We start from the raw sequence: 21,905 nt of genomic DNA on the forward strand, positions 1-21,905 counted from the left end.
ATTGAATAAACAAATGGGGACAAAAGAAAAACTTCAGCTGAATTAAATGTAAAGGAGTTTCATTGAACAATGAACGATTCGCAAATCAGGCAGCCCCCAGAATCACGGCAGATTCAGAGACACTCCAGGGATGCCTCGTGGTCAGAACAAATTTATAGACAAAAAAAAGGGAAGTGACATACAAAAATCAGAAGTGAGGTGGAGAAACAGCTCAACTGGTTACAAGTTCTTGTTTGCCTTTTTTTTTTGAGACGGAGTTTTGCTCTTGTTGCCTAAGCTAGAGTGCAATGGCACGATCTCAGCTCACTGCAATTCTCCTGTGTCAGCCTCCTGAGTAGCTGGGATTACAGGTGCACTCCACCACACCTGGCTAATTTTTTGTATTTTTAGTAGAAATGGGGTTTCACCATGTTGGTCAGGCTGGTCTCCAACTCCTGACCTCAGGTGATCCGCCTGCCTCGGCTTCCCAATGTGCTGAGATTACAGGCGCCAGCCTCTGTGCCCAGACAGTGTTTGCCTTACTTAACACAGTTTGAACACTCAGCAGTGTATGAGTGGTTGAAGTATTGCTGCTGGGATTAGCCAAGACTCAGCTTGTTACAGGCACATACACTGTTACAGGCACACAAGTTAGGTTTCCAATTCTGTCTACCTGTTAGGTTACAGTTCGTCCATAAGGACTCAAATATAGAAGTACAAAGTCCTTCTCAGGCCACATTTAGTTCACTTTTAACAGGAGCAAGAAGAGACAGCTCTTCCTTATAGTAGAATTTAAATTATCAAAGTGTAAGAAATGATAGAAGGAGAAAATCACCGCTAGGCAAACATCACAGTAATAATTGTTACAGGTAAAAATTATCAATGAATGTTAAAACTAATGCGTGAGAAAACATGATGAGAAATAGGATTTTGGCATAGTTTCTTTTTTTTTTTTTTTTTTTTGAGATGGAGTCTCGCTCTGTCACCCAGGCTGGGGTGCAGTGGCGCGATCTCAGCTCACTGCAAACTCCACCTCCCGGGTTAACGCCATTCTCCTGCCAGAGCCTCCCGAATAGCTGGGACTACAGGTGCCCACCACCATGCCCAGCTAATTTTTTGTATTTTTAGTAGAGATGGGGTTTCACCGTGTTAGCCAGGATGGTCTTGATCTCCTGACCTTGTGATCCGCCCACCTCGGCCTCCCAAAGTGTTGGGATTACAGGCATGAGCCACCGCGCCCAGCCATTTTTACATAGTTTCAAATTATTTCCCCACAAGATACTTATTCAATAAAATGGGAAAAACAGTGATTTTACAGAGGAGAAATCTGGCAAACAACACTGTTACCAAGTTCTCAAAGTTAACATTGCTAATAATGAGATATACTAATATATATATCTCCTGATATGACACATTGAGAAGAGTTCAACATCATTTCTGTGATCTTCTTGCCAAAACTGCCCAGTCTAAATCTAACCATAAGGAAACATCAGGCAAACGCAAATTGAAAGATATTCTGCAGGCTGGGTGTGGCAATCCCAGCATTTTGGGAGGCCAAAACAGGAGGATGGCTTGAAAGCAGGAGTTCAAGACCAGCCTGGGCAATATAGCAAGATGCTATCTCTACAAAAAAAAAAAAAAAAAGAAAATAGCCAGGAGTGGTGGTGTGCACCTGTAGTCCCAGCTACTCAGGGGCTGAGGTGGAAGAATTGCTTGAGCCCTGGAGGTTGAGGCTGCAATGAGCCATGGTCATGCCACTGCATTTGCACTCCAGCCTGGATGACGGAGCAAGACCTTGTCTATTAAAAAAAAAAAAAAAAAAAAAAAGTGGCCGGTGCTGGGCGCGGTAGCTCATGCCTGTAATCCCACTACTTTGGGAGGTCAAGTCGGCCAGATCACCTGAGGTCAGGAGTTCGAGACCAGCCTGGCCAACATGGTGAAACCCCATCTCTACTAAAAATACAAAAATCAGCCGGGGGTGGTGGCAGGTGCGTGTAATCCCAGCTACTCGGGAGGCTGAGGCAGGAGAATCGCTTGAACCCAGGAGGCAGAGGCTGCAGTAAGCTGAGATCGCACCATTGCACTCCAGCCTGGGGGACAAGAGCAAGACTTCGTCTCAAAAAAAAAGCGGTCAGGCGCGGTGGCTCACGCCTGTAATCCCAGCACTTTGGGAGGCTGAGGCAGGTAGATCACGAGGTCAGGATTTCGAGACCAGCCTGGCCAATATGGTGAAACCCTGTCTCTGCTAAAAATACAAAAATTAGCTGGGCGTGGTGGTGCGCTCCTATAGTCCCAGCTGCTCGGGAGGCTGAGGCAAGAATATCGCTGGAACCCAGGAGGTGGAGGTTGTGGTGAGCCAAGATTGTGCCATTACACTCCAGCCTGGGTGACAGAGACTCCGTCTCAAAGAATAAGACAGAGAGAGAAAGAGAAAAGAAAAGAAAAAGATATTTTACAAAATAACTGGCCAGTACTCTTCAAAAGTGTCAAAGTCCTAAAAGATAAAAAGGATTAAAGAACACTCAAAGATGGAAGGAGACTAATGAAACAATACAATTCAATGCAGGACCTTGGATTGGATCCTGAAACAGTAAGAAAATTTAGCAAAATTTGAAAAAGGGCTCTAACTTAATTAAAAGTCTTCTATCAGCATAAATTTCCTGGTTTTCATCATTGCACTGTGGGCACCTGCAGAGTATCTGCAAATTCCTTATACTATGTTCACAACATGAAAATAAAATTTTAGGCCAGGCATAGTGGCTCACACCTGTAATCCCAGCACTTTGGGAGGACAAGGCAGTTGGATCACCTGAGATCAGGAGTTTGAGACCAGCCTGACCAATATTGTGAAACCCTGTGTCTACTAAAAATACAAAATTAGCTGGCCGTGGTGGCGCAAGCCTGTAATCCTGGCTACATGGGAGGCTGAGGCAGGAGGATTGCTTGAACCTGGGAGGTGGAGGTTGCAGTGAGCTGAGATCATGCCATTGCACTCCAGCCTGGGCAGCAAGAGCGAAACTCTGTCTCAAAAAAAAAAAAAAAAAATGAAAGAAAGAAAGAAAAGAACATTTTTAAAAAATTTACGAAGGGGAAAATGGACACAAAAAAGAAGATATACAAATGGCCAGTAAACATACAAAAAGGTGCTGAACATCATTTCACATCAAGGAAATACAAATTAAAACTATGATGAGGCTGGGTGCAGTGGCTCACACTTATAATCCCAGGATTTTGGGAGGCTGAGGCGGGCGGGAGTTTCACATGGTGAAACTCTGTCTCCACTAAAAATACAAAAATTAGCTGGGTGTGGTGGCACGCACCTGTAATCCCAGCTACTCGGGAGGCTGAGGCAGGAGAATGGCGTGAACCCGGGAGGCGGAGCTTGCAGTGAGCCGAGATTGCGCCACTGCACTCCCGCCTGGGCCACAGAGCGAGACTCCGTCTCAAAAAAAAAAAAAAAAACAAACCAAAACAAGACAAAACAAACCAAAACAAAAACCTATGATGAAACTGCACCACACAACCAATAAAATAGTTAAAAGACTAACCATACCAAATTACGGAGAGGATATGAAGCAACTGGAACTCTCATACATTGCTGGATGGAGTGTAAACTGGAACAACCACATGAGAGCTTCGTAGTATCTATTAAACATTAGCCTACCCTATGATCTAGCAATGCCACTCCTAAGTATTAACCCGGGAGAAAAGCCTTCATGTGTTCACCAAAAACACAGCAGAGTGTTCACAGCTGCAGCATCATTTGTAACAGCCCCAAATTGGAAGCTACCCAAATATCCATCAACAATGTAATCGACTAATATACTACAATATATCCCCAGTATAGTGAGAGCTAAGTACAATTACACTGAACAACATGAATGAATTTCACAAACATAATATATAACAAAAGAAGCCTGGCATAAAACAGTACATGCTGCATAATTGCATATATACATGAAGTTCAAGAATGTGTAAGACAGCCAGATGCACTGGCTCATGCCTGTAATCCCAGCACTTTGGGAGGCCAAGGTGGGCGGATCACCTGAGGTCAGGACTAGCTTTGCCAACATGGGGAAACCCTGTCTCTACTAAAAATACAAAAATTAGCCGGGTGTGATGGGTGCCTGTAATCCCAGCTACTCAGGAGGCTGAGGCAGGAGAATCGTTTGAACCCAGGAGGCGGAGGTTGCAGTGAGCCAAGATTGCATCACTGCACTCCAGCCTGGGTGACAAGAGCAAGACTCTGTCTCAAAAAAAAAAAAAAAAAAAAAAAAAAGAATGGGTAAAACTAGTTAATGATAGAATTCTGAATAGATTGTGTGGGGGAGAAATTACTGAGAAGTGGTATGAGGGAAGCATCTCAGGTCCTGGCAAAGTTCTTTGTATAGATCTAAGAGTGTTACACAGCTGTACACTTAAGATTTGCACACTTTATATAGGCTCTATGTATCTATTGACAGCCTCCTGCTCTGTTGCCCAGGCTGAAGGGCAGTGGTATGATCATGGCTTCCTGCAGCTGCAAAGCACTGGGCTCAAGCGATCCTCTCATCTCAACCTCCTGAGTAGCTAGGACTTATAGGTGCCAGCCACCATGCCCGGCTAATTTTTTATGTATGTATGTATTTATGGTAGAGTTAGGGTCTCACTATGTTGCCCAGGCTGGTCTCCAGCTCCTGGCCTCAAGTGATCCTCTCACCTTGGCCTGGCAAAGTGCTGGGATTACACGCATGAGCCTCCACACTTGGCCTACAAAAATTTTTTTAACTCTTGGAACTATGCTTTGGTAGGGATATGGAGCAATAAGATATTTCAAACATTGCTGTTCAAGTACAAATTTGTGCAGCCACTCGGGTATATATTTTGACACTGTTTAGTAAAGTGGAAGATATATGAACCGGCAATTCTGCTGGTAAATAAACTCAAGCATGTGTACCCCATGTGAAAGAATGTGGCTGTGTTGTTTATAAAATGAAAAGCTATAAATAACTAATAGGGCATCATTACTAGAAAGGATGAATAATTGTGGTATACTTCAGAAGGGAGAATATAGCAAAGAAATTGAATTAACCGCGATTTTATCTAATAGGGATGATTCACAGAATTGTAAAAATAAACCAAAGACAGTATGACAACATTCATATAAAGTTTTAAAACGGGGAAAAACTGGAGTATAATGCCTAGAGAAGTATACGTAAGTGATAAAACCTCACACTGTGTGACTTACCCTGCCACACAAACCTGATCACACTCCCACCATGGGGACATTCAGCTACAGACAATCCACGCCCAAAGCAACAGGGTCGCACACGCAGGGCCTCTATCGGTCACATAAGCACAAGTGCACGCTTACCGAGGAGGCAGTCACAGTCACAACCACATTGTCACAGTCGGCGCACACCTGTACCGGGTCACAGTCACGATCACACATTAACCACAGCCACACACACAGATAGAAACATGCAGTTACTCGCAGGTATCCCCACCTGAACTCTGCCGCACACAGTCACACAGCATATAGTCGCACACCACTACGGGGACAAACGCAGTAACACTCAACCAGGCACAAGCTCCCCACAGCCGCACACACAATGCCGCACGTGGTCCTGCTCCCTCTCACACACACACCAGCAGCCACAGTCTCCGAGGCCGTGCTGCACACGGTGTGAGCGTTGGAAACACACTCATCACAAGGGCAGCCTGTCACAATCGCGCGATCATTCACCACACACCTCCACACAGACGCAAGCGCACGCTTTCAATCTCACCTCCACCGCCGCACAAAGCCGAGGCTTGGCCCCCGGCCCCGCCCTCTCCCGGGTTTCTCACCTCAGGCCTTACCAGCTTTCGAAGCAGCAGAACCCTCCCCGGCACTGGGGTAGTTGCTGGTAAAGCCCTGAGGGTCCCGCCAGCGCGTGAGTTGGAAGCTGAATTACCGCGAGAAGTACAGTCTTGCCGAGGAGACCTCTGGGAAGCGTAGTCAGAGACGTATCAAGGCCGGACAAGATGGTTCCCGATCGTCAGAATTCCTGTCCGCGCCTTGCGTCAGCCCCGCCGAAAGGATCGCCCCCCCTAGTCAAACCGCTCGCGCCCCAGAGGCCTCATGGAGTCCCGCCTCAGGCTCGGGCCTTGGCCCCCAAAGAAAGCCACTCCGACGTGTTTGAGATGGGCTTAGTTCCCGGACCCGTCCTACTGCCCCCAGGCGCTGGACAGCCTCAGAAAGAGGACAAGTCTGCATGGAAAGATAATCGCACAACTGAGCCTTCTGGGAGATGTAGTTCGGAGCTGGGAAGGCGGTTGGACCCTCCGAAAGTCATCTTAATTGCTCTCACAGATAAGCCGGTGCTGGGCTGCCGGCCTGAGTACTGTGCGCCCAGAGTGCGCAGGCGCAAACATCCTGGGTTGCTGTTTTGGCCTCTTTGTTCGGGCGTGAATTTTGTTTATTGCTCCTTAGTGCAGAGGGGTTATGGGACCAGAGGTTGTGAGACTCAGAAGTGGTTGGGGACGCAGAAGGGGTGTAGACCAGGAACCTGCGACCTGATGGGGGGAGGTCGAAGGGAAAGGAATCGCCAAACGTGGGACAGGTTTGGAGAGGCAGAAAGAGAGGAGTCTGAAATTGCAAAGGGCAGGTGTTATTCTGACTTCTGTGTGCTTTGTGATAAATGAGTGGGGCAGGAAGTAAGAGGAGTTTCACTTTCTCCTTCTGCAATTATTTGTGTACTTGGACTAAGTGTATCTCATGGCCAGTATTTGACTGCTTTTGACCTATAAAGGTATTGTATACACAGTCATGCATAGTTTAATAATAAGGATATATGCTCTCCCCACGGTCTCCCTCTCCCTCTCTTTCCACGGTCTCCCTCTGATGCCGAGCCAAAGCTGGACTGTACTGCTGCCCTCTCGGCTCACTGCAACCTCCCTGCCTGATTCTCCTGCCTCAGCCTGCCGAGTGCCTGCGATTGCAGGCGCGCGCCGCCACGCCTGACTGGTTTTCGTATTTTTTTGGTCTCCACCAAACACAGGGTTTCGCTGTGTTGGCCGGGCTGGTCTCCAGCTCCTAACCGCGAGTGGTCCGCCAGCCTCGGCCTCCCGAGGTGCCGGGATTGCAGACGGAGTCTTGTTCACTCAGTGCTCAATGGTGCCCAGGCTGGAGTGCAGTGGCGTGATCTCGGCTCGCTACAACCTCCTCCCAGCCGCCTGCTTTGGCCCCCCAAAGAGCCGAGATTGCAGCCTCTGCCCCGCCGCCACCCCATCTGGGAAGTGAGGAGCTTCTCTGCCTGGCCGCCCATCGTCTGGGATGTGAGGAGCCCCTCTGCCTGGCTGCCCAGTCTGGAAAGTGAGGAGCGTCTCTGCCAGGCCGCCCATCGTCTGGGATGTGGGGAGCGCCTCTGCCCCGCCGCCCCGTCTGGGATGTGAGGAACGCCTCTGCCTGGCCGCGACCCCGTCTGGGAGGTGAGGAGCGTCTCTGCCCGGCCGCCCCGTCTGAGAAGTGAGACCCTCTGCCTGGCAACCGCCCCGTCTGAGAAGTGAGGAGCCCCTCCGCCCGGCAGCCGCCCCGTCTGAGAAGTGAGGAGCCCCTCCGTCCGGCAGCCACCCCGTCTGGGAAGTGAGGAGCGTCTCCGCCCGGCAGCCACCCCATCCGGGAGGGAGGTGGGGGTCACCCCCGCCAGGCCAGCCGCCCCGTCCGGGAGGGAGGTGGGGGGGTCAGCCCCCCGCCCGGCCAGCCGCCCCGTTCGGGAGGGAGGTGGGGGGGTCAGTCCCCCGCCCGGCCAGCCGCCCCGTCCGGGAGGCGAGGGGCGCCTCTGCCTGGCCACCCCTACTGGGAATTGAGGAGCCCCTCTGCCCGGCCAGCCGCCCCGTCCGGGAGGGAGGTGGGGGGGGGTCAGCCCCCCGCCCGGCCAGCCTCTCCGTCCGGGAGGTGAGGGGCGCCTCTGCCCGGCCGCCCCTACTGGGAAGTGAGGAGCCCCTCTGCCTGGCCACGACCCCATCTGGGAGGTGTACCCAACAGCTCATTGAGAACGGGCCATGATGACAATGGCGGTGTTGTGGAATAGAAAGGCGGGAAAGGTGGGGAAAAGATTGAGAAATCGGATGGTTGCCGTGTCTGTGTAGAAAGACGTAGATATGGGAGTCTTTTCATTTTGTTCTGTACTAAGAAAAATTCTTCTGCCTTGGGATCCTGTTGATCTGTGACCTTACCCCCAACCCTGTGCTCTCTGAAACATGTGCTGTGTCCACTCAGGGTTAAATGGATTAAGGGCGGTGCAAGATGTGCTTTGTTAAACAGATGCTTGAAGGCAGCATGCTCGTTAAGAGTCATCACCACTCCCTAATCTTAAGTACCCAGGGACACAAACACTGCCGAAGGCCGCAGGGTCCTCTGCCTAGGAAAACCAGAGACCTTTGTTCACTTGTTTATCTGCTGACATTCCCTCCACTATCGTCCTATGACCCTGCCAAATCCCCCTCTGCAAGAAACACCCAAGAATGATCAATTAAAAAAAAATAAATAAATAAATAATAAGGATATATTCTGGCCGGGTGCGGTGGTTCACGCCTGAAATCCCAGCACTTTGGGAGGCTGAGGGGTTTGAGACCAGCCTGGGCAACATGGTGTAAACCCCGTCTATACTAAAAATGCAAAAATTAGCCGGGCATGGTGGTGCGCGCCTGTAGTCCCAGCTACTCGGGAGGCTGAGGCAGGAGAATCGCTTGAACCCAGGAGGCAGAGGTTGCAGTGAGCCAAGATTGCACCACTGCACTCCAGCCTGGGCGACAGAGTGAGACTCGGTCTCAAAAAAAAAAAGGATACATTCTGAGAAATGCATTGTTGGGCAATTTCATCATTATGGAGTGTACTGACACAAACCTAGATGGTATAGCTGACTGAACACTTAGGCTACATGGTATAACCTGTTGCTCCTAAACTACAAAGCTATACAGTATGTTACTGTACTGAATACAGTTGGAACACTGTAGGGACCAGCCCTACAAGGTCTGTGGGTTTTTCTCCCTGTGTGCAGAGACTAGAGGTGGTAGAAATAAAGACACAAGACAAAGAGATAAAAGACACCTGGGCCCGGGTGAGCCACTACCACCAAGACACAGAGACTGATAGTGGCCCCGAATGCCAGGCTGCACTGTTATTTATTGGATACAAGACAAGGGGGGCAGGGTAAGGAGTGTGAGCCATCTCCAATGATAGGTAAGGTCACGTGGGTCACGTGTCCACTGGACAGGGGGCCCTTCCCTGTTTGGCAGCTGAAGCGGAGAGAGAGAGAAGACAGCTTACGCATTATTTCTGCATATCAGAGACTTTTAGTACTTTCACTAATTTTGTTACTGCTATCTAGAAGGCAGGGCCAGGTGTACAGGATGGAACATGAAAGCGGACCAGTAGTGTGACCACTGAAGCACAGCATCACAGGAAGACGGTTAGACCTCCAGATAACTGCGGGCGGGCCTGACTCATGTCAGGCCCTCCACAAGACATGGTGGAGTAGAGTCTTCTCTAAACTCCCCCGGGGAAAGGGAGACTCCCTTTGCTGGTCTGCTAAGTAGTGGGTGCTTTTCCTTGGCACTGACGCTACTGCTAGACCACAATCCGCTTGGTAACAGGCGTCTTCCCAGACGCTAACGTTCCGCTAGACCAAGGAGCCCTCTGGTGGCCCTGTCCGGGCATAACAGAGGCTCACACACTTGTCTTCTGGTCACTTCTCACCATGTCCCTTCAGCTCATACCTCTGTATGGCCTGGTTTTTCCTAGGTTATGATTGTAGAGTGAAGATTATTATAATATTTGAATAAAGAGTAATTACTACAAACTAATGATTAGTGATACTTGTGTATAATCATATCTGTGATCTGTATCTAGTGTAATTCTTGTTATTTTATATATTTTATTATACTGAAACAGCCCATGCCCTCGGTCTCTTGCCTCGGCACCTGGGTGGCTTGCTGCCCACAGAACACAATGGTAAGTATTTATGTATCTAAACATATCTAAACACACAAAAGGTACAGTAAAAAAAACAGCATGAAAAGTAAAAAATGGTACACTTGTATAGGGTACTTACCAAGAATGGAGGCTGCAGGACTGGAAGTTGCTCTGGAGAGTCGATGAGAGGTGAGTGAATGTGAAGGCTAGGACATTACAGTACAACACTCTAGACTTTATAAACATTGTACACTTAAGCAACACTACATGTATTTAAAGTTTTTCTTCCATAATAAATTAACCCTTGCTTGCTGTAACTTTTCTACTTTATAAATGTTCAAATTTTTAAAAGCTTTTTGACTTTTCTGTAATATCGCTTAGCTTAAAACACAAATACATTGCACAGCCCATGTGGGATCCGTATCTCTTGGTAAGGAAATGTTGCAGGTCAGATGTCATTCTTATGTGGCCACATAGAGGTAGAAAGACTGCATATATGATACTGCCTTTCCCAACCACGGGCTCGTATTCTAACATACCGCAACAATGCCCAATATTTATGGGGTCATAGAAAATAGGATTCACTATGGTTGGAGAATTTCCAGAGCCAATTTAAGTTCAGGAATGCTGGCAATGAGAATGATCAGTAGGAATCAGTGTAATGATTTACATAGTTGAAACTATCAACTGGGCCAGGCTGGTGGCTCACGCCTATAATCCCAGCACTTTGTGAGGCTGAGGTGGGCTGATCACCTGAGGTCAGGAGTTTGAGACTAGCCTGGGCAACATGGTGAAACCCCGTCTCTACTAAAAATACAAAAATTAGCTAGGCATGGTGGCACACACCTGTGATACCAGCTACTCGGGAGGCCAAGGCAGGAGAACTGCTTGAACTTGGGAGGCAGAGGTTGCAGCCAGCCAAGATCATGCCACTGCATTCAAGCTTGGGTGACAGAGCAAAGACTCCATCTCAAAAAAAAAGTTAAAATAGAATAAAACATATAGCCATTATTTTTCTGTTTGGGGCAATTTTAAAGTTTTTCTTTTGTCACAAAAACAGGAATGTACTATGCAAAGGCTTGAAATAGGCCATCTTTTTTTTTTTTTTTTTTGAGTTGGAGTTTCGCTCTTGTTGCCCAGGCAGGCTGGAGTGCAATGGCATGATCTCGGCTCACCACAACCTCCATCTCCTGGGTTCAAGCAATTCTCCTGCCTCAGCCTCCCAAGTAGCTGGGATTACAGGCATGCACTACCACGCGTGGCTAATTTTGGGTTTCTAGTAGAGACGGGATTTCTCCATGTTGGTCAGGCTGGTCTCGAACTCCCGATCTCAGGTGATCTGCCTGCCTCGGTCTGTCAAAGTGCTGGGATTACAGGCATGAGCCACTGTGCCTGGAAAATAGGCCATCTTTTTAAACAAAAAGGCAATGATTCACAAAAGTCTATGAATAGAACATGTAACTAGTTGATACAAATCTAATAGGATTTGTTTAAAATCAGTCAAATCTAATACATCTGAAGTGTTCTTGTATAAAGTATCACATGAAGAAAAGAAGAATTTATTAATGTCTTAAAAAAATGGGTTTCTTCATAGACAATATGACAACTTACCATTAAAAGTGTTTCGGGACGGCCGGGTGCAGTGGCTTACGCCTGTAATCCCAGCACTTTGGGAGGCCGAGGCGGGTGGATCACGAGGTCAGGAGATCGAGACCATCCTGGCTAACACAGTGAAACCCCATCTCTACTAAAAATACAAAAAATTAGCCGGGCATGGTGGCGGGTGCCTGTAGTCCCAGCTACTCGGGAGGCTGAGGCAGGAGAATGGCGTGAACCTGGGAGGCAGGGCCTGCAGTGAGCCGAGATCGTGCCACTGCACTCCAGCCCGGGCGACAGAGCAAGACTCCATCTCAAAAAAAAAAAAAAAAAAAAAGTGTTTCAGGAGACATAAGGAAATGCAACATTATTCTTCCTGAACACTTTTAGTTCAAGACTTTCCACTCAATAAAATAGGAAAGGATCTGAAACTGAGAAAATGTATTTGAGTACAAACAGCTTGTGAAACATAATACTTTTTTTTGCATCATCAGAGGGTTTTACTGAACTTATAACCAACTTGCCCACTCAGTATGCAATTCAGATGTGAGTGAGGGGCCGGGCGCAGTGGCTCACTCCTGTAATCACAGCACTTTGGAAGGCAGAGGCGGGCGAGTCACCTGAGGTCAGGAGTTCGAGACCAGTCTGACCAACATGGTGGAACCTAGTCTCTACCAAAAATACAAAAATTAGCTGGGCGTGGTGGTGTACACTTGTAATCCTAGGTACTCCGGAGGCTGAGGCAGGAGAATCGCTTGAACCTGGGAGGCAGAGATTGCAGTGAGTCCAGATCTCGCCATTGCACTCCAGCCTGGGTGACAGAGCAAGACTCCATCTCAAAACAAAACAAAACAAAAAAAACAGATGTGAGAGGACAGAGGTGTCTCACAGGAGCCTGTACTGTCTTCAATCCTATGTGTGCAGGTATCTACCACAGGCAAACAGTTTCTCCACATTTTGTAGTTATATGATCTTGCTACTAGCAAAAAGAGGTAAACAGCCCCTGTAGAATGAAGGGACTACAGTCACGGGACTAGAGTCACAGAATGAAGCTTTCCTCTTAATATTTTTTAATTTGATGTTTGAACTCTTTTTCTTTTTTCCTTGAGACAGTCTTGCTCTTTCGCCCAGGCTAGAGTGCAGTGGCACGATCTTGGCTTACTGCCACCTCCTGTGTTCAAACAATTCTCCTGCCTCAGCCTCCGGAGTAGCTGGGATTACAGGCGCTCGCCACCACACCCAGCTAATTTTTGTATTTTTAGTAGAGACGGGGTTTCACCATGTTGGCCAGGCTGGTCTCAAACTCCTTACCTCAGGTGATCCACCCGCCTCGGGCTCCCAAGTGCTGGGATTACAGGCATGAGCCACTGCGCATGGCCCGATGTTTGAACTCTCAATGCAGCATCCTAGAGAAGGGTGTTCGGGACCTCCTGTGCCCAAGGGACCGATAAAGAAAAAAGCTCCATTTATTATTTGGGATTTGATGCACAGATGAAAAACTTAACACACAATAACGGAAGTCGGTTGTTAGTAAATCACATCCTAGTCTTTCAGCACTTCCATAAGAGACGACATCTTCAGTTGTCTAGTTCTTGTAGTTTTAGCACGGCAACATCAATGATGCCTATGTCCAGAATCAGTTAAAAAGACCATAATTTGTTTCTCTTAGTTCATCTATTTTTCACTGGCTCATGGTCCCAAGTGTATCTGAATGATTACCTTTGGGCATTCTCTGCTATTGCTTATTAGGGTGCTGTCGATTGTCCCCATGTTTTGTGGGCTGGTTGGGAAGGGGAGCTTGGGAAGGATGTGTCACTCTCAGGAGGTTGTAAGTCATTGGGACGCCTCCAGGGATGATTCCTTCCATGGCTGCAGGAAGTCCTCCTGGAGCCACGCCCACGATGCCTGGCGGATATCTGTATGTTGCACCGTTGAGCTCGGGATGAATTGCTTGCTGGTCTATTGCTGACCAAGGCGCTGATGTGACAAATAACTCCTTGTTCACACAGTTTCTTAAGCTTTCTGGGACGCGACCTGTGATGACTCGGCGGATCTCGGTGGCAGCTGCCTCCTTCATCTCCAGTGACGCCTGCATGCTGTCCTAGGCAGTGTGAGGAGTGAAGATGAGATTTGGCGCATCTTTCAACGGAGTCTGAGCAAAGCTAAAGGGCTCCGATTCGTGCAAGCCAAGGGCTGCCCCTCCTATCCTGTCCTCCTTGAGGACCTGTGCTAAGGCTTTCTCATCCACCAGGCCACCATGGGCTGCGTTCACAAGGAATGCTCCCTGTCTCATCTGCTTTATAGTAAAGTCATTGACGAGGTGGTGGTTATGTTCATTGAGATTGCAGTGCAACGAGACACAGTCACTCTGATACAGCAAACCCTGCAGGGTGTATCAGGGTCCCCTCTGCATGCCCTGGGACCTCTCTATCTTGTCCTACAAGTAGGGGTCATAAAATACGACGCTGAATCCAAAGGCCTTGGCTCAAACTGCAACCGCCTGCCTCATGCAACCGAAGCCCATGAGGCCTAGCGTCTTCCACGAATGAGGGCCACTCCCATGGCCACCTCGAGAATCTGCTCCACGCTCTGAACCCGCGCGCCTTCCCACAGTGTCTGGTACAGCCACATATTCCTCCGGCAGAGATTGAGGATGTGGCAGATAGTGGAGTTGGCTGCCTCTTCCACGGCTGTGGAGGGGATGTTGCACATAGTAATCCGGAGCTCACTGGCAGCCTTGATGTCCACGTTGTCGTAGCCACTTGCCTATCCACACGATCACTCTCAGGGCCTTGAACTTCTCCAGGTCCTCCCTTGTTTAGAATCTTCTCGTGGATCTCCTGCGTGGACTGTGCGTCACAGAAGGCCACAGTGGCCAGGTCCTTCAGGATGGGCATCTCCACGGTGCAGGTCACAGCCATCCAGCGGCGCCAGCAGCGGGAGGGGGTGCAGGGGGCTGTTCGTGATCTGAGGGTGGATAGCTTCACAAGTTCTGTCCAATCGCTGTCTCGTGATTTTGTGCTTATCCACCAGGGCCATTCTTTATGGAACTTTGCAACTCTCAGATCAAAAGGCAAAGCAGGCCTGGCATGGTGCCTCATGCCTGTAATCCCAGCACTTGGGAGGCTGAGGCAGGCAGATCACTTGAGGTCAGGAGTTTGAGACCAGCCTGGCCAACATGGGGAAACACCATCTTTACTAAAAATATAAAAATTAGCTGGGCATGGTGGCGCGCTCCTGTAATCCCAGCTACTCGGGAGGCTGAGGCAGGAGAATCACTTGAACCCGGGAGTCAGAGGTTGCTGTGAGCTGAGATCATGCCACTGCACTCCAGCCTGAGTGGCAGAGTGAGACTCTGTCTCCAAAAACCAAACCAAAACAAACAACAACAACAAAACAAAAGGCAAAGCAGTCCTCTAAAAACTTACGGAAACTCGCAGGAGTGTGTGTGCATGACGCCACTATGAACCCAATACATATCTGTCCACAAACTCTATAGTTCACAGGATGGGCTGTCCATCTTTTCTTTCTTTCTTTCTTTCTTTTTGTCGCCAGGCTGGAGTGCAGTGGCGCGATCTCAGCTCACTGCAATCTCCACCTCCCGGGTTCAAACGATTGTCCTGCCTCAGCCTCCTGAGTAGCTGGGATTACAGGTGCACACCACCACACCTGGCTATTTTTTGTATTTTAGTAGAGACGGGGTTTCACCATGTTGGACAGGATGGTCTCGATCTTCTGAACTCGTGATCCACCTGCCTTGGCCTCCCAAAGCGCTGGGATTACAGGTGTGAGCCACTAGCTGTCCATCTTTTTAAGGGAATGCAGCTTCGTCAGTTCAAAAACATTTAAGGTGATGAAACCCTCGTCCTGGGCAGTCAGCATCCACAGCGGAAAGGCTCCCGCCCCTCCCACCCCACCTGGAGGCTGTGCTGCCTCAGTTCAGTGCAGCATGGCTCCTGGTTCAGTCCTTCGCTCCTCGGGCCGCTCCCAAGCCACCTTAAAATGACACACTGAATTTGGATTATTATTATTATCTTTTTTTTTTTCAGACAGAGTCTTGCAGTTGTCGCCCAGGCTGGAGTGCAGTGGCGCAATTTCGGCTCACTGCAACCTCCGCCTCCTGGGTTCAAGCAATTGTCCTGCCTCAGCCTCCCAAGTAGCTGGGATTACAGGCACCTGCCACCACGCCCAGCTAATTTTTGTATTTTTGGTAGAGACGGGGTTTCACCATGTTGGCCAGGCTGGTCTTGAACTCCTGACCTCAGGTGATCCACCCTCCTTGGCCTCCCAAAGTGCTAAGATTACAGGTATGAGCCACCAACCCTGGTCTAAACATTTATTTTTTTAATTTCTTTTTTCTTTTTTTTTTTCTTTTTTGAGACAGAGTCTCACTCTGTTGCCCAGGCTGGAGTGCACTGGCACGATCTCAGCTTACTGCATCCTCTGCCTCCCGGGTTCCAGTAATTCTCCTGCCTCAGCCTCCAGAGTAGCTGGGACTACAGGTGCCCGCCACCATGCCCAGCTAATTTTTGTACTTTTAGTAGAGACAGGCTTTCACCATATTGGCCAGGCTGATCTCGAACTCCTGACCTTGTGATCTGCCTGCCTCGGCCTCCTAAAGTGCTGGGATTACAGGCGTGAGCCACTGTGCCCGGCTATTTTTTATTTTTTTGAGACGGACTCTCGGCTCACTGCAAACCTCTGCCTCCTGGGTTCAAGCGATTCTCCTGCCTCAGCCTCCTGACTAACTGGATTACAGGCATGTGCCACCATGCCTGGTTAATTTTTGTATTTTTAGTAGAGACGGGGTTTCACCATGTTGGTCACGCTAGTCTCGAACTCCTGACCTGGTTATCTGCCCGCCTCAGCTTCCCAAAGTGCTGGGATTACAGGCGTGAGCCACCGCGCCCGGCCCCAAACATTTATTATTAATTATTCTTCATATTACATTTCCAGGATCTACTATATATTTTTTATATTTTCATTTTATTTTTAATTAAGAAGTAATAATTGCATGTATTTATGGGGTACAATTTGATGTGTACATTGTATACATCGTGATGTGTACACAATGACACGTGTACATTGTGGAATGATTGAATCAGCTTTTCCAAGTGTGTTTCCTTCTCAGCACCTCCAAACCTCTCCTCAAGTTAACCCCAGGCCTTGAGAGAAACAAAGTGCTCTCCCTTAAACTGGGTCGCTTTGGTTCTCAGTGGAAAGTTGAGTCACAGAGGGAGGCTCTCTTTCATGTGCTTGGGTTTCACTCACTTTTATCAGCTGGACACTGCCGCAGGGGCTGATTGCTCCCACTCCCTTCCCCAGGTTCTGGGTTATCGTTCATGATTCCAGTGGATTTCCATTTTTCTTCTTGAAATAAAGTACATGGAGTTTATCTTTATGCACTATCATGCTATCCCCAAGTGACTGAGGCATTCTCTAATCTGCCATCTTGGAGGAAGAAAAGTTTTAACTTTGATATCACAGTTTACATATAATTTGTATCAATTAACAAATTATTGTAGCTATGGGTGTTTTGTAGTAGTTTTGTCTTTTTTTTTTTTTTAAGTCAGAGTCTTGCTCTGTTGCCCAGGCTGTTGTGCAGTGGCGTGATCTTGGCTCACTGCACCCTACACCTTCCAGGTTCAAGCAATTCTCCTGCCTCAGCCTCCCAAGTAGCTGGGACTACAGGTGCGTGCCATCATGCCCGGCTAATTTTTTGTAGTTTTAGTAGAGATGGGGTTTCACCATGCTGGGCAGGCTGGTCTTGAACTCCTGACCTCGTGATCCCCCTGCCTGGGCCTCCCAAGTGCTGGGATTATAGGCGTGAGCCACCGCGCCTGGCCACCAGTTTTGTCTTTTAATCTTCAAACTAGAGAGAGAATTGATTTACACCTCACCATTACGGTATTAGAATGTTGTGAATTTCACAATGTACTTATTTTTTACCTATAAGTTCGTTTTCGTTTTTTTTTTTTTTTTTTTTTTTTTTTTTTTTGAGATGGAGTCTCATTCTGTCACCCAGGCTGGAGTGCAGTGGTGCGATCTCTGCTCACTGCAACCTCTGCCTTGCAGGTTCAAGTGAATCTCTGCCTCAGCTTCCCGAGTAGCTGGATTATAGGCATGTGCCACCATGCCCAGCTAATTTTTGTATTTTTAGTAGAGATAGGGTTTCACCATGTTGGCCAGGCTGGTCTTGGATTTCTGACCTCAAGTGATCTGCCTGCCTTGGCCTTCCAAAGTGTTGGGATTACAGGCGTGAGCCAGCTCGCCTGGCCAGTTTTATATACTTTCATGTTTTCATGTTACTAATAAATGACTTTTTCCTTCAGCTTGAAGAATTCTCTTTAGCATTTCTTGTAGGGCAGATATAGGAGTGTTAAACACCTTCAACTTTTGTTTGTCTGAGAAAGTCTTAATTTCTCCTTCATTTTTGAAATACAGGTTATCTGAGTATAGTATTCTCACATGGCAGTTGTTTTCTTTCTAACAATGTATCATCCCACTCCCTTCTGGCCTGCAAGATTTCTGCTGAAAAATCCACTGATGATCTTATTGAGGTGACTTTGTACATATGTGAACATAAGAAGTCACTTTTTCCTTGCTCCTTTAAAGATTCTCTCTTTGTGTTTAACTTTTGAAAATTTGATTATAATGCACATCTGTGTGGGTTTCTTTTGATTTCTCCTATTTGGTGTCTTTTTGGCTGCTTCGATCTGGATTTATATTTCCTTTCACAGGCTTGGGAAGTTTTCTGCCGTTATTTCTTTATCTAAGCTCTCTGTCTCCTTCTCTTTTATCCTTCTGACCCTTTGGCAATGTGTGTATTGGTCTGCTTGATGGTGTTCCAAAAGTCCCTTATGCTGTCTTCACTATTTTATATTCTTTTGCTCCTCAGATTGGATGATTTCCAATGACCTGTTTCTGAGTTTGTTGATCCTTTCTTCTGCTTGAACTAGTCTGATACTGAACCCTTTATTGCATTTTTCAGTTCAGTTGTTGTACTCTTCAGCGCTAATATTTCTTTTCTTTTTTTTTTTTTTAAACAGAGTCTTCTCTGTCCCCTAGGCTGGAGTGCAGTGGCACGATCTTGGCTCAGTGCAACCTCTGCCTCCGGGTTCAAGCAATTCTCCTGCTCAGCCTCCCAAGTAGCTGGGATTACAGTTGCACGTCACCACGCCCAGCTAATTTTTTGTATTTTTAGTAGAGATGGCGTTTCACCATGTTGGCCAGGCTGGTCTCAAACTCCTTACCTCAGGTGATCCACCTGCCTGGGCCTCCCAAAGTGCTGGGATTACAGGCATAAACCTCCCTACTTGGCCATCCCTAAGATTTCTGTTTGGTACTTTTTTTATATTTTCTGTTTATTGAAATTCTCAAGATTGTTCATGCATTGCTCTCCTCACCTTGGTGAGCATCTTTGTGATGATTCTTTTGAATTGCCTGTTGGGTAAATCACATTATCTCCATTTCAGTAGGGTTGGTTTCTGGAAATTAATTTTGTTCTATTATTTGGAACATATTTCCCTGTTTCTTCATTTTCCTTGTATCTCTGTGTTGGTTTCTGTGTATTAATAAGAAAACAGTCTCAGTTTTTTCACACTGGCCTCACATAGAACAGCCTAATCAATAAGTCTAAGGTTCCTCTCACATTTTTGTGTTTGTCCAAACTGCAGTCTCTGTTTTTAGTGACCCCTAGGAGATTAGGATGTGCCAAGACCTAGCAGTACTCTGAGTCAGGTAAGATAGAAACCAGTCCCTCTAGATGCAGCTGGAAAGATTGGGGCATTAGCTATGTCTTCCACTTCATTTTATCCTCAGGGTGAAGCTGAGAGGAGTTTATCTCCAAGTCTCTCTGCATTAAGTCAGGGAGTGTATCTGTAGCAAATGCCTGCACTCTTCTTCAGATTGCGTGTTCTGATCCTCTGCTGGACGTGGGATCATTGAATGTCCACATCTTTATTTTCTGTGGTCTAGGGAGGCTCGGGAATGCTGAGCTCAATCAACTTACAGAGCTAGGTGGTTATAGAGGCAACCCCATGGAAGGGAGCTGTAGAAGTTATGGCACTCAATGCATGGACAAACTCCTTCAGGGAGCATCTACATACCTGGCTTTATTGCTCGAGCAAACTGAGGGGGAAAAGCGCAGGAAATGCCTAAGCTCCTGTTCAGGTTCCCATATGTCTATTGCTTTTCTACCCCACTGGTTTCCAGGTGCAGGATAGATTCTCAAACCGGAGTTGAAAAAGTGTGCAGATGGACACTTCCAGAGAGAAACTGAGAGGTGTGCACTTTAGACCATTCTCTGCACTGATCCTGAGATGTAAACAATGGCAGTGTTCGTGTATCAGTATAAAACCACCTCTTGGCCAGTCGCGGTGGCTCACGCCTGTAATCCCAGCACTTTGGGAGGCTGAGGCGGGCAGATCACCTGAGGTCGGGAGTTCGAGACCAGCCTGACCAACATGGAGAAACCTTGTCTCTACTAAATATACAAAATTAGCAGGCTGTGGTGGCGCATGCCTGTAATCCCAGCTACTCGGGAGCCTGAGGCAGGAGAATTGCTGAACCTGGGAGGCGGAGGTTGCCGTGAGCCCAGATCGCACCACTGCACTCCAGCCTGGGCAACAAGAGCGAAACTCCGTCTCAAAAAACAAAAACAAAAACAAACAAACAAAAAAGCCACCTCTTTATTCTGTGATCTAGAGAAACTAGTGAATGCCAAGTCCTTTCGTTCCCAATTTTAGATGGTTTAGGATGGAGCCTCCTAGTTGGGAGCTGTGAAAACTGGGGCACTCTATGTGTGGAAATCGCTTTTTTTTTTTTTTTGGAAGAATCTGTAGACATGGAGTAAGCCACGGGGAGACTTGGAAAGTGCCAAACTTCCATTTAGGCTCCCAAGGGTCTATACCCTGTTAGATGTAGGCTGGTTAGAAGCCTGTCACGCAGCAACTGGAGGAGTGTTCTGGGAAACCCCTTCTGTGGCAAAAGACAAATAAAATAAATTTGCCATCTTAAGACTTTTTTTTTTTTTTTGAGATGGAGTCTTGCTCTGTTGCCCAGGTTGGAGTGCAATGGCACTATCTCGGCTCACTGCAAGCTCCGCCTCCTGGGTTCACGACATTCTCGTGCCTCAGCCTCCCAAGTAGCTGAGACTACAAGCGTCTGCCACCACGCCCGGCTGATTTTTTGTATTTTTAGTAGAGACGGGGTTTCACCATGTTGGCCAGGATGGTCTCGATCTCCTGACCTTGTGATGTGCCCGCCTCGGCCTCCCAAAGTGCTGGGATTACAGGCGTGAGCCACCGCGCCTGGCCCTTTTTTTCTTTTTTGAGACGGAGTCTCCCACTGTCGCCCAGGCTGGAGTGCAGTGGTGCAATTTTGGCTCATTGCAACCTCCGACTCCTGGGTTCAAGCGATTCTTCTGCCTCAGCCTCCCAAGTAGCTGGGATTACAGGTGCCCACCAATGCACCCGGCTAATTTTTTTTTTTTTTTTGTATTTGTAGTAGAGACAGGGTTTCAATATGTTGGCCAGGCTGGTCTCGCACTCCTGACCTCGTGATCAGCTCACCTCAGCCTCCCAAACTGTTGGGAATACAGGCGTGAGCCACCGCACCCGGCCCCCATCTTAGACATTTTAAAGTGTACTGTTCAGTGGTATTAAATACATTCATAATGTTGTGCAACCATCACCACCACCCATCTTTATAATTCTTTTCATCCTGTCATAATGAAAATCTATACCCATTAAACAATTAACTCCCCATTCTTCTTCTCTGCTAAAAACCATAATTCTACTGTCCCTATGATTTTGACTACTTTAAGTACCTTGGATAAGTGGAATCATATAGTATGGTCTTTTTGTGACTGGAATATTTCACTTAGCATTATGTGCTCAAAGTTCATCCACATTGTAGCCTATTACAGAATGTCCTTCATTTTCGAGGCCTAATACTATTCCACTGTATGTATATACCACATTTTGCTTACCCATTCATCTATCTATAGGCACTGGGGTTGCCTCCATGTTTTCGGTATTATGAATAACGCTGCTATAAACATGAGTGTTTGAGTACTTTCTTTCAATTCTTTTAAGTATATACTCAGAAATGGAATTGTTTAATCATATGGTAGTTGTAGGTTTAATGTTTTTCTCTTTTCTTTTGGAGACAGAGTCTCTCTCTGTTGCCCAGACAGGAGTGCAGTGGTGAGACCACAGCTCACTGCAGCCTCAATCTCTAGGGTTCAAGCAATCCTCCCACCTCAACCTCCTGAGCAGCCTTCTGAGGTGGCAAGGGCTGAAGTTGCTGTGGACTGATGTGAATACACTGCTGGAAACTTGGGATAACTTGGATCTGTGCCACTGCTAACATTATCATGACATTATCAAGA

General features: G+C 47.5%; 1 protein-coding gene, 1 long non-coding RNA gene and 1 pseudogene across 11 annotated transcripts in view, besides 5 other annotated features; 1 reads left to right on the plus strand and 2 right to left on the minus strand.

Annotated features, from left to right (window-relative positions):
* ZNF566 (zinc finger protein 566) overlaps window positions 1-5,896 on the minus strand; it is a 44,443-nt gene extending 38,547 nt beyond the window's left edge. For 5 of the 10 annotated variants that reach the window (NM_001437586.1, NM_001437587.1, NM_001437585.1 and 2 more), the window contains exon 1: window positions 5,821-5,896. The gene's annotated coding sequence lies outside the window, so the exon portion shown is untranslated. Of the gene's footprint in view, window positions 1-5,747; window positions 5,771-5,808 lie in introns of those variants that run through there. The other 5 variants (NM_001300970.2, NM_001437588.1, NM_001145345.1 and 2 more) reach the window with 2 other exon arrangements.
* Window positions 4,992-5,879: an enhancer, noted in NCBI's record as "NANOG-H3K27ac-H3K4me1 hESC enhancer chr19:36979559-36980446 (GRCh37/hg19 assembly coordinates)". NCBI's record gives its function as "activates a minimal SCP1, AML or CMV promoter by ChIP-STARR-seq in primed H9 embryonic stem cells {active_cell/tissue: H9 hESC(primed)}" and the evidence as "EXISTENCE:reporter gene assay evidence [ECO:0000049][PMID:30033119]".
* Window positions 5,186-5,265: an enhancer, noted in NCBI's record as "active region_14523". NCBI's record gives its function as "activates an Ori minimal core promoter by ATAC-STARR-seq in GM12878 lymphoblastoid cells {active_cell/tissue: GM12878}" and the evidence as "EXISTENCE:reporter gene assay evidence [ECO:0000049][PMID:35858748]".
* Window positions 5,826-6,385: an enhancer, noted in NCBI's record as "active region_14524". NCBI's record gives its function as "activates an Ori minimal core promoter by ATAC-STARR-seq in GM12878 lymphoblastoid cells {active_cell/tissue: GM12878}" and the evidence as "EXISTENCE:reporter gene assay evidence [ECO:0000049][PMID:35858748]".
* Window positions 5,826-6,765: a biological region, named in NCBI's record as "NANOG-H3K27ac-H3K4me1 hESC enhancer GRCh37_chr19:36980447-36981332".
* Window positions 5,880-6,765: an enhancer, noted in NCBI's record as "NANOG-H3K27ac-H3K4me1 hESC enhancer chr19:36980447-36981332 (GRCh37/hg19 assembly coordinates)". NCBI's record gives its function as "activates a minimal SCP1, AML or CMV promoter by ChIP-STARR-seq in naive and primed H9 embryonic stem cells {active_cell/tissue: H9 hESC(naive and primed)}" and the evidence as "EXISTENCE:reporter gene assay evidence [ECO:0000049][PMID:30033119]".
* ZNF566-AS1 (ZNF566 antisense RNA 1) lies at window positions 5,962-7,375 on the plus strand. The gene has a single exon (NR_036504.1). It is a non-coding gene; the product is annotated as a ZNF566 antisense RNA 1 (long non-coding RNA).
* A 5,675-nt stretch (window positions 7,376-13,050) lies between these two features.
* CTBP2P7 (CTBP2 pseudogene 7) lies at window positions 13,051-14,598 on the minus strand (annotated as a pseudogene).

The sequence above is a fragment of the Homo sapiens genome, chromosome 19 (assembly GCF_000001405.40).
Source record: "Homo sapiens chromosome 19, GRCh38.p14 Primary Assembly".
NCBI lineage: Eukaryota > Metazoa > Chordata > Mammalia > Primates > Hominidae > Homo > Homo sapiens.